A 13,135-nucleotide genomic window follows, 5' to 3' on the forward strand; every position below is an offset into this window, starting at 1 on the left:
GAAGCGTATGGATTAAATTCCACTTGGAATATACTTCAGTTTCAGAAGAAAGGACATGTTTCTAGAGAATGCTGTACCAGAGGTGTGTTTGATTTCAGGAACACTGACATCATCTAAAATTAGTCTCCCAGTGGGCCACCTTCCCCAGACTCTCAGCACTGATCCTTTAAAAAAAAAATTAGCAGTGCTTGTTCACAACTGCTTTGCTCGTAACACTAGGCTCCATGCTTGGAGAACCAGAAGAGTTCTCTATCCTCAGAAAACTATTATTTATTAAATTGCAATAATAAAAGTCAGTGCCAGTCGGGGTTTCAAGCTGATTGTAGGAATCATTGTATTTAACATTCATAATGATGTAGTCAATAAAGTACTGTGATATTCTCATTTTGTACATAGTATTTACATTAGTACCATGATATTCTCATTTTCCAGATGAGAAAACTAAAGCAGAGAGAGGTTAAATAATTCACTTCAAACTGAAAGTTAGGAAACATTTCAACCAGGATCTGAACCCCAGCAGCCTGTCTCCAGCATTCCTCCACTTCTGCACCTCTCTGTTTCTCTGCTCCCATGACTATAAATCACTTTCTCTTGATGAGGAGAGTTTTGTTTTCAAGGCTATACTATGAGGCAGATATTTTTCCCAATTGTTTTACAAATGATACCACTGGGTCTCAGAGGCAGTTTGAAGGAATGTATTATGTTCACAGAAATAGTGAATGGCAGGACCCAGGAATTAAACTCAAGTTTCATCTAACACCTGCCTCAGGCTCTTCTGTGTTCCAGGAATGGTCTCTGAATTAATGGTGTCAGAATTGCCTATGATGGGGTGGAGAGGTGCTTTTTTTTTTTAAGTCCAGATATGGGACCATCTACTAACCACTGAATCAGAATCTCTGAGGTAAGGGGCCTTGGCATCTTCTTTTTAATTTTAATTTAGTTTTATTTTAATGGAGTCTCACACTGTCACCCAGGCTACAGTGCAGTGGCACAATCTCACTGCAAACTCCGCCTCTTGGGTTCAAGCGAATCTCCTGCCTCAGCCACCTAAGTAGCTGGGACTACAGGTGTGCACCACCATACCTGGCTAATTTTTATATTTTTAGTATAGATGAGGTTTCAATATGTTGGGCAGGCTGATCTTGATCTGACCTAAAGTGATCTGCTTGCTTCGGCCTCCCAAAATGCTGGGATTAAAGGCATGAGCCACCATGCCCAGCCAGGATCTTCCTTTCTAAAAAGTGGTAAAGTAGTTCTTTTTTTTTTTAAGTTTGTGAAAATGAATATTAATAATGATGATTTTTTTTTACTTTTATTTTAAATTCGGGGACACATGTGAAGGTTTGTTACATAGGTAAACTCATGTCATGGGGGTTTGTTGTACAGATTATTTCATCACCCAGGTATTAAGCTTAGTATCCATTGGTTATTTTTCTGCTTCTCTTCCTCTCCCACCCTCCACTCTCAGGTAGATCCCAGTGTCTGTTGTTCCCTTCTTTGTGTCCATGAGTTTTCACCATTTAGCTCCCACTTACAAGTGAGAACATGCAGTATTTGGTTTCCTGTTCCTGCATTAGTTGGCTAAGGATAAAGGCCTCCACTTCCATCCATGTTTCTGCAAAAGACATGATCTTCTTTTTTATGGCTGCATAGTAAGGAGATTCTTGACTCACAAAATAAATTCCCCCTGCTGCCTCAGAAAACCTTGTGAGAGGCACCTGTTAACTAATGTTATTAGGGAGTTTAAAGTGAGATAGGAGATGAAAGGTGTTGAGTGTGGATTTGCAAAGAAATGAGGCAGCTTTGAAAACACAAATTGGAAAAATCATGTGATTCCATCAATAGTCTGTTTCTAGATTCATTTTTAGGGCTGTCAAATCATTCATCATCTGTTCTGGAATTCTTGGGCCAGGGAGCAGGGAAAGGAGAGAAGTCAGCATGGTAGAATGCAAGGAACATGTCTCTGAAGTCAATTCCTGCCTCTGCCTTTTAATTCTCATTTTGATTTGGGATGAGTTATGTATTTTCTCTGCATTTGATTTTTTCTGTCTGTAAGATATTTTTCTCTTTTATTTTTATGCACGTTAAGTGAGCAACACATCTAAAGTGAACACACAGTAGTTATTCAATAGTCTTTTGTTTTTTTTTCTGCTTATGATGCTTTGCAACCAGTCACATTTTTCAGGTGGATTCCATTGCCAATGCCAATTCTCTCCCTGCCCAGGCTTGTATTATACCAGCTGTTATGAACTTCCAGTTTGTCAATTATTTCTTTTCTTTTTTTTTTTTTTTTTTTTTGAGACAGAGTCTTGCTCTATCACCCAGGCTGGAGTGTAGTGGCATGATCTCGGCTTACTGTAACCCCTGCCTCCTGGGTTCAAGCAATTGTCCTGCCTCAGCCTCCTGAGTAGCTGGGATTACAGGCGCCTGCCACCGTGCCCGGCTAATTTTTGTATTTTTAGTAGAGACGGGGTTTCAGTATATTGGCCAGGCTGGTCTCGAACTCCTGACCTCGTGATCTGCCCACCTCGGCCTCCCAAAGTGCTGGATTACAGACATAAGCCACCGTGCCCAGCCAATTATTTTATTTTCTTACATACAACTATCTCCTAAGGAAAGCACTTACCAGCTAATGTGGTGTTCATGGTTAGTAGCAGGAGATGACTTTATCATCCAGTGGCACTTTCATTAGAGAAAGATGAAGGCATGAAGGAACACATAAAAAAATGAATGCCTAATAGGAAAAAATCAAAGATTATTACATATCGGCAGTAGGGATATTTGGAGGCAAAAGTCCTTCAAGAATGTCATTTAAACTCGCAGTTCCATTACCTATTTGAAACATCAGTTCAGAAAATATATTTTTTTAGTGGGAACATAAAATTATGAAGTTGCAAAGGACTTTGAGGTCATTTATAACAACTCTTAAGCAATGCCTCCCTTTGGAGGAAAGACAGCAACTTGTTTGTGTTATGTAGTGCGATCAAGTTCACATTTATTACTTACTAAACTAAGCGAGAGAGAAAGTTAGGCACCATTTCACAGATGAGAAGCCTAAGGCTTAGAGAGATGAAGATGCTTGCCAAGGTCACTCGTGTTACCCAAGACCAGTCCTTGAACCCAGATGCCAGACTCCATGTCCTTCACTCCCCTCCCTAAGCCACAGTTCTTTCTGATTCCAGGCAGGCAAAATATTATGGATGAATTCCTTTATCTATTTCAATCTCTCTTTTTAGAAACTTTTAATTAGTACTCAATTCTCTGCTATTATTAGTATTTTTTATAAAGCAGTAAGAGCCATTCCTGTTCCTTTCTCCTCCCCTGCTCACCTCCCCAAGCTTTCCGCTCCAAGGCTTCTGGTTTTAATTGTTATATTTTTTCACCAGTGATCATTCGAACTTCCCTAATGATCTCAACTCATTTGGAGGGTTTATAGCTCCAGCACAGAACTCCATTAAAAGGAAAAGAGAAGCTTTGTGGGGGAATTCCCTGGGGGCTTTTCTTCTGCCAAGAACAAAACTCATTTGCTGCACACTGTCCTGCCCTCATCACAAGGTACCTTCTTTAGTGGAAAGAAGGCCATCTCCTATTTCGGGAAATTGTCTTCTTCTTCACTTCTCCCATTTGACTCCCTTCTTCTCACTTTACCAAGTTACCATCTGAAATTTCTGCACGCAGTAGGTAGGTAGGCACTTGATTACTATGTGTTGAAAGCTGCAATAAATAAGTGTATTTACAAAGGAAGAGGAGAGGACAAAAGGAAGGGTTATGGACCACTTATCTCTTCCAGGGAATATATTAAGTTCTTGAAAGAGTCAAGTGCTCATGACCATGTGTAAATAGTTCTGTATATGAGGAGACAGGCACAGAGTTCTATTAAAATACTCTCCACAGCCAGACATAGAGTGGTACTCATAACAGCTAGTGTTACTGAACATTTACTACATGCTAGGTTTAGTTCCAAGTGTTTACATGTATTTACTCTTTTAATCCTGACTACAACCTTATCATGTACTTGCTCTTATTATCCTCATTTTGCAGGTGAGGGAATAGGTAGGTGATCCAGTATTCTAACTGGGGTGGTCTGGCTTCAGAATGTGTGTCCTTAATATTCACACCATGGTAGTACTATGATTCCAAGATGCATCTCCAAGGTATGAGCTTTATTATTATGCATTTAAACATTTCAAAGAGTTTGTCCATCTATTATTTAGTTTAATGATTGTAATCCTAGCTACTCAGGAGGCTGAGGCAGGAGAATCATTTGAACCCAAGTGGTGGAGGTTGCAGTGAGCCGAGATCGTGCCATTGCACTCCAGCCTGGGTGACAAGAGTGAAATTCCATAACAACAACAACAACAAAATTAATATTGGGAAAAATAACACCCTCATACATCTTTGATTTTTGAGAGAACTGAGGACAGGAAAGATGTATGGTCCTCCCTGACACTCAGTACCACTCAATGATAGATGCAGGACCAGAACTCAAGTCCATATGCAGTGAAAAGTGATAGACACAAAATGACTATCAGTGACACATTATTCCCACCCTGACAGTGCTATGTGCTAGCCATTTCATTAAGTTCAGAGTGATTATCTTTTCTGAGCCTTGTTTTTTCTCATCTGCAAAACAGTAGAAAGAATGCCTATCTCAAATGGTTTGGGCAAGAATGTCATTAGATGTTTTATCTGCTAGAATATGAGAGATACATTATATATTTTATTTTCTTTCCCAGGCTCACGAGACATATGTTGTGACAAGATGAGTTTTTACAATCTGGGGCTTGGAAGTCCTCAACAAATGTATAAGAGGTTGGAACTTCTTTCTTCACTGTTCTATGTTTTTCATTCACCAAGGAGATAATCCAAGAAAATCATCATATATTTCATGAATTGGATGACTTCCCTTTGCTGACTCATGGCTGTCCTAACTTCTTGCTCCTAGATTAAAACAAAATTAGGTGTCAATCAGGACAGCAAGCACATCTTAAAGAAAAGGAGACATACTCATAGAGGGAAGAATCATTTGTGGTCACATGGCTTAAAAGGGCAGAACTGGGACTAAAATTCAAATATGGCTAAAATGACACCTTTTAATCTTATGTCACTATAGAGAGACAGTACTTGGGGAGGACAGCTTGGCATGGTTTCTAACGCAAGGAGACCAAGGCAAGAAAGTTCCCAGGGGTATTTCCCCTGTGAAATTGCTCACACCAGGAGCAAAGGCTGTCCAGGGAGCCCCATAAGCTGATAGTGATGGAGCCCATCAGTTCAGTGTCTGATTGAGGAAGAGCATTTAATAAACATGAGGAGAAAGACCAAGGATTCCAATGTTTAATTATCTGCCCAATGATTGAAAATCTAATTTAGTTTTTTTTATGTTTATTTGTGAAGGCTTCTGTGTTTCCAAGCAAGAAAAAGCTTTAGAGTTCAGGGATTCAATGTAGGTAAATTCATTAAAGTGCTTATTAATCTACACATCTTAGTAGCTTACTATTCAATCAGTTGTCAATGCCTCTCAATTCCAGAAATGAAACAAAAAACTGGGAAAACAATATTATAAATTTGTCACGTTACACGAAAGGTAGTAATATATTAATTGATCATCAGTTATAATCCAAACAATTTATTTTATTTTGTTTAATCCTATTTTATTTTATTTTAGAATTAGGTACAATGATAATGTATTTCACATGGAATATAAAAGGCCAAGGACATACATCTTTGGCAGTGTCACAGACTAAGTGGCCACAGATGCCTCAGTCAGTACACAAAACCTCCTACACTGATTTTTTTAAAATGTACCTACAAAAGATCAGAAAAAGATTCAGAGGCCTGAGATATGCAAAAGTAAAAATTAAAAGGGTAAATGAGAGCATTATAGACAATTTTTTACTAAAACCATCTGCCATTTACTGGAGACTTAAACCCTGAGTTTTAAGGGAACTTTTGAGCTAAAGAAAAGAAAAAAGCCTAAAGTTTAGTCCTGTGAGGATAAATACATCATCTGAATTAAGACAAGAACTTAAAAAGAAACAACAATCACTGGATGAACCAGAAGGAAAATTATCCACAGAGATCTTTGAGAGGTTCAAAACCACATCTATATTGATGTCTACATCTTGTCCATCAAAATATAATAAATCAGAAGGGTTGTGATCAGAATTAAAGTTCATTAATATGCTTCAGGGATCATTTTTTTCCTCAGAGAAGTGAATATATTGATTATACTTTGTTAACTTAAATATGAATGTTGTAATTTCTTAGATAACCACTAAAAGAACAGAAGACTGTATAACTTTTAACTTAGTAAAGTAGAAAAATGACCTCATTCTAAAAGAAAGAAGAAAAAAAGAAATAAAAGTATAGAAAATTGGGATAAATGGAAAACAATAAAATAGGTATGACTTTAACTGCTTCAGTAATCATAATCAATGTAAATAGATTTCTCTTTGCATTTAATAATTTAAAATGTATAAAATGTATTTTTAAAAACTCCACCTGTACACTGTTTACAAGAAAAAACCTACAAAACAAATGTATCCACAGATTGAAAGGCCATAATGGAAAAATATAACAGGAAAATATTAATAGCCTTATAGCTTAACATTGCTGTTAAAATTTCAGACAATTTTGGAAATAAGGTTAAAAAGAGAGGTCTTTTCTCTACTGAGAAAACAGATTCAATTTACTAAGAAAATATTAAAATTTTATGTATATAAGCACCCAATCATACAGTTTATAATTATGTAAAATAAAAGAATAAATGGTACTGCAAAAAAATGACAAATCCACATCATGGTGAGAAATTTTAATACATTTCTCAGGAATTAATAGAGAATGTAGAGGACTTAACATAAGTAGCAAGCTTGATTAGTGAAATACTGCTGCAACACTTCTTTTCTCTTATCAATAATTGACCATTTACTATTTCAAAAACATTTATCAATAAATTTAACAGAATGAATATTACTTTGCTAAATTTATTAACCAAAATAAAATTAAGTTAGATGTCAATATAAAAAATATGAAAAGTAAACATAAATATGTATGCATGTACATACTCTGACAAACAAGCATATATTCAGAAAAATCCCATATCTTCAGAAATTTAAATAAAATAACATTCTAAATTACTCATGCAGAGAGGAGAAATCATAATGGACATTAGAAAATATTTAAACAACTAGGGAAATCTTATCTATTAAAACCTTTGTCCTGCCGTAAAGTTATACTTGATGGCCAGTTATAGTTTCAAAATCTTTATATTCAAAATGAAAATGGTAAAATTAACTAACTTAAAAAATAGTAAAAGAATAGAAGAAAAAAACTAACAAAGTGGGGATTTAATAATGGAGACAAAAGTATGTTTGTGTGCGTGTGTATGTGTGTGTGTGTAAGAGAAAGAGAGAGAAGAGAGGAAAAGAGAGAGAAGGCATAGAGAGCAAGGTTAAGAAAAGAAGGGGGCATACCTACAATTTTAATAATAATTAATAGAAATAAAAGGCAATGTGTATAATAAAAAGTTTCTGATACATTGAAAAAGCACTTATAGGAATCTCGTCCTCAAAAAGATAGTTTACTAGTCCTGACTCAAAAAGAGGTACAAAATCTGAATGATCCTTATAAACATTAATGATATTGAAACAATATTTTAATATATTCTCACAAACAAAACAACAGACCAGATAAGTTTACAAGAAAGTTACATAAAATATCTAAGAAACAAATAATTCCAATCTTACAATATCTTTCAAAGAGTAAAATAAATGGGGAAGTCACTTCTCAACTTGTTTATTTTTAAAGATTACATAACCTCAAAACCAACACTAGGCAATAAGAATATGTGAGAAAAAAAAACTCATGAACATGTAAAACTTCAAAATGAAATGTTAATAAATGTCATTCAATAATGAATTTTAAAAAAATACATTATGACAAATGTGAGGTTGTTCTAGGAATGATTAATATTAGAAAATCTATACATTTATTCAATCATATTATTTCACCAAATAGAAAAAAATTACAATGAAATTATGAAAAACATTCAATGAACTTGGTAATTATTTATAATAAAAACTTTTAGTGAACTATGAAAAAAAAGAGAACTTTCTTCACTGGAGAAAAGATAGTTTTAAAAAGTCTACCAGAGAAACATAATAGAAAGAAACCTATACGAAGGCTGCTACATAACACTACTGGCAAAGCAAATTAGGAACAAAATTATACTCTGTTTACTCAACAGTGCTGCTGAGAAAACCAGTTCTCCAAATGGGGAAAAAAAATGCAAGGAATACTCATCCTGCATCATAAGCTAAAATCATATCCAGATAATTTAAAGACAAAAATATCATAGCTAAATAAATAAAACTTTCCCCTTCGCTCCCCTCCACTGAATTGGATACTATCTTTATGTCTTCAGATAAAGGAATAATTTCTTAAACAAAAAGCAAAAGAATAAAACATAAATAAAAATATAATTTTGACTTCATTAGTATTAGAAAATTTATTCATTATAAGATTCTATAAAGATGTGGAAAAGACAAGTCACAAACTGGCAAAAGACATTTGCAATCACATAAATGACAAAGGTTTATCGTGCAGAACATAAAAATATTTCTCAAAAATCAATAACAAAAAGACAAACCTCAAATTTAAAAGGGGGTAACATGAGCAAAATATGTGATTCTGAATTCTACTACAAAGGAAATGTGGCTGGCCTACAACATTTGACAAGATAGTCACTGCATCAGAAATACGAGGATCACGCTTGCTCTCCAGCAATGTTCCCTAACCAAAATGGAAACTCAGAAGTGACAGGTAAAGAATTCAAAGCATGGATTTCAAGGAAGTACAATGAGATCCAAGACAATGTAGAAAGTTAACGTAAAGAAACTTTTAAAGCAACCCAGGAAATGAAGGAAGAGGTAAACATCTTAAAAAGACATCAATTGGAGCTTCTGCAATTGGAAAAAAAAAAAAAAACCCTGCACTTAAGGAATTTCAAAACAAAATTCAAAGCTTTATCAATAAACTGGAAACTGGACCAAGCAACATAAAAAGAAAAACAAAGACTTCCAGAGCTTGAAGACTGGTCTAATCCAGTCAGACACAAATAAAGAAAAAAGAATTTTAAAAAATGAACAAAGTCTTCAAGAAATATGGGATTAATGTGAAGAAACCTAAGAATTACTGTCATTCCTGGGAGAGAAGGAGAAAGAGTAAACAACCAGGAAAACATATTTGAGGAGATAATTTGAAAAAATGTCCCTAATCTTCCTAGAGAGGCATACAGACAGATATAAGAGATCTAGAGAACCCTTGTACAATACTATATAAAATGAACATCACCAATACATATAGTCACCAGACTGTACAAGATCAATGCTAAAGCAAAAATTTTAAAAGAAGCTAGAAAAAAATGTCAGATTACAAACAAAAGAAATTCCATTAGGCTACCAGTGGACTTCTCAGCAGGCATTTTACAAGCCAGAGAGATTGGTTGCCTATTCTAAGTATTTTATTTTTTGAGACAGCGTCTTGCTCTGTCACCGAGGCTGGAGTGCAGTGGCGTGATCTCGACTCACTGCAACATCTGCCTCCCAGTTTAAGAGATTCTCCTGCCTCAGCTTCCCTAGTAGCTGGGATTACAGGTGTGTGCCACTACACCAGGCTGATTTTTGTAGAGACAGGGTTTCACTATGTTGGCCAGGCCGGTCTTGAACTCCTGACCTCAGGGGATCCACCCACCTCGGCTTCCCAAAGTGCTGGGATTACAGGTGTGAGCCACCGTGCCCAGACTATTTTAAGTATTCTTAAAGAAAATAAATTCCAACCAAGAATTTCAGATCCCATCAAACTAAGCTTCATAAGCATAGCAGAAATAAAATCTCCAGGCAGGTGAAGCACAAAGAGAATTTGTTACCACTAGGCCAGCCTTACAAGAGATCACTAAGAGAGTTCTAAACATGCAACCAAAAGAGTAATACCTGCTACCACAAAAACACACTTAAAAACATAGCTCGCAAAGCCTATAAAGTAACCACATAATATAAACTACAAGCAACTAGCTAACAACTTTATGATAGGATCAAAACTTCACATACCAATATTTACCTTGAATGTTTAAAAGCCCCACTTAAAATTTACAGAGTGGCAAGTTGGATTAAAAAAAGAAAAAGACCTATCCATTTGCTGTCTTCAAGAGACCCATCTCACAAGTAATGACATCCATAGGCTTAAAGTAAAGGGTTGGAAAAAGATCTATCATGCAAATGGAAAACAAAAAAGAGCAGGATCACTATTCTTATATCAAATAAACAGATGTTAAACCAAAATCAATAAAAAAGTACAAAGGAGTGCACTACATAATGAAAAAGGGCTCAGTCCAGCAAGAAGACTTAACTATTATAAACATATACACACCCAACATTGGAGCAACCAGATTCATAAGACAAGTCCTTCTAGACTTATGAATACATTAGACAGCTACACAATAATAATGAGAAATTTCAACACCCCACTGACAGCAGAAATAAAAAAAAATTGAAATAAATGAAAATAGACAAAACATACCAAAATCTCTGGGATGCAACAAACACAGTGTTGAGGAAAGTTTGTAGTGCTAAACACCTACCTCTAAAAGCTAAAAAAATCTTAAATTAATAGCCTTATATCAAATCCAGAGGAACCAGAAAAACAAGAACAAACTAACCCCAAAGATAGCAGAAGAAAAGGAATAATTAAAATTAAAGTGGAATATGAAATTGGGACCCAAAATTCCATACAAAAAAATCAACAAAATCAAAACTTTATTATTTGAAGTGACAAACAATATTAACAAACCACTAGCTATTAATAAATTAACAAAGAAAAAACAGAGAATATCCAAATAAGCACAATGAGAAACAACAAAGGTGACATTACAACCAATTCTGTAGAAATACAAACTACTAGCTAACCAAACACAATAACATATCAATAAGTTAATCCACCATGATGAAATTGGCTTTATTCCTGTGGTGTAAGATTGCTTCAACATAAGCAAATCAATAAATATGATTCGCCACATAAACAGAATTAAATACAAAAACCATATGACCATTTTACTAGACATAGACACAGAAAAATCTTTCTATAAAATCCAACATTCCTTCATGATAAAAACTCTCAAGAAACTAGGAATTGAACGAACATACCTCAAAATCATAATAGCCACTTATGACAACAGCCAACATCATACTAAATGGGCAAAGGCTGGAGCCACTCCTTTGAGAATCAGAATAAGACAAGGATGCCCACTCTCACCACTCCCTTTCAAGATAGTAGTAAAATGATAGCCAGAGAAACCCGGCAAAAGAGAGAAATAAAGGGCATCAAAATAGGAAAAGAAAAAGTCAAATGATCACTCTTCATGGGCAATCTGATTCTATACCAAGAAAACCCTGAAGACTCCACCAAAATGCTCCTGGAAATGATAAAGAACTTCGGTAAAGTTTCAAGATACAAAATCAATGTACAAAAATTAGTAGCATGTCTATACAACAGTAATGATTAAGCTGACAGCCTAATTAAGAATGCAATTTCATTTACAACAGCCATACATACACACACATGCATACAAATACCTAGTAATACATCTAACCAAAGAAGTGAAAAATCTCTACAAGGAGAATTACAAAATATTGCTTAAATGAATTATAGATAACACAAACAAATGAAAAGAAACATTCCATATTAATGAATTGGAAGAACCAATATTGTCAAAATGTCCGTACTGCCCAAAGCAATCTACAGATTCAAGGCTATTCCTATCAAACTACCAACATTATTTTTCATAGAACTAGAAAACACTATTCTAAAATTCATATGGAACCAAAAAAAAGAGCCTGAATAGCCAAAGCCATCCTAAGCAAAAAGAACAAAGATGAAAGTACCCATTATCATACCTCAAATTACACTATGAGGCTACAGTAGCCAAGACAACATGGCACTGGTATAAAAACAGACCAGTGGAACAGAATATAGAACTCAGAAATAAAGCCGCACACCTATAACTCCCTGATCTTTGACAAAGTCAACAATAACAAACAATGGAGAAAGGACTTCCTACTTAATAAATCATGCTGGAATAGCTGGCTAGCCATATGCAAAAGAATGAAAATAGACCCCTACCTTTCACCATATATGAAAGATTAACTCAAGATGGATTAAATATTTAAATGTAAGACCTAAAACTATAAGATTCCTACAAGAAAACCTAGGAAACTCCAATCTAGACATAGGCCTTCAGAAAGCATTTATGACTAAGTCCTCGAAAGCAATTGCAATACAAACAAAATTTGACAAATGGGACCTAAATTAAGATCTGCACAGCAAAAGAAACTATCAACAGAGTAAATAGACAATCTACAGAAGGCGAGAAAATGTTCACAAAGCATGCATCCAAAAAGGTATAATATCCAGAATCTATAATGAATTTAAACAATTGAACAAGAAACAAAAAAACCTCACTTAAAAATAGAAAAAGACATGAACCATTAGTTCTCAAAAGATGCACGCAGCCAACAAATGTGAAAAAATGCTTCACATCACTAATCATCAGAGAAATGTAAATTAAAACCACAGTGAGATATCATTTTAAACCAGTCAGAATGGCTATTACTAAAAAGTCAATAAACAACAGATGCTCATGAGGTTGTTGAGGAAAGGGAATTCTTACACACTGTTGGTCGGAATGTAAATTAGTTCAGCCACTGTGGAAAGCAATGTGGAGATTTCTCGAAGAACATCTAAATGAACTACCATTTGATGCAGCAATCCCATTACTTGATATGGTATCTAAAAGAAAACAAATCTTTCTATCAAAAAGACAAATGCACTTGCATGTTCATCACAGCACAGTAATAAAGACATAGAATCACCCTAGGTGCCCATCAATGGTGACTGGATTTTAAAAATGTAGTACATATACATCATGGAATACTATACAGCTATAAAAAAGAAGGAAATAATGTCCTTTGCAGGAATATAGATGCAGCTGGAGGCCATTATGTTCAGCAAATTAATGTAGGAACAGGAAACCAAACACTGCATGTTCTCACTTGTAATTGGGAGATAAATATTGGGTACCCAA

This window comes from Homo sapiens, chromosome 9 (genome assembly GCF_000001405.40).
Source record: "Homo sapiens chromosome 9, GRCh38.p14 Primary Assembly".
Taxonomy (NCBI): domain Eukaryota; kingdom Metazoa; phylum Chordata; class Mammalia; order Primates; family Hominidae; genus Homo; species Homo sapiens.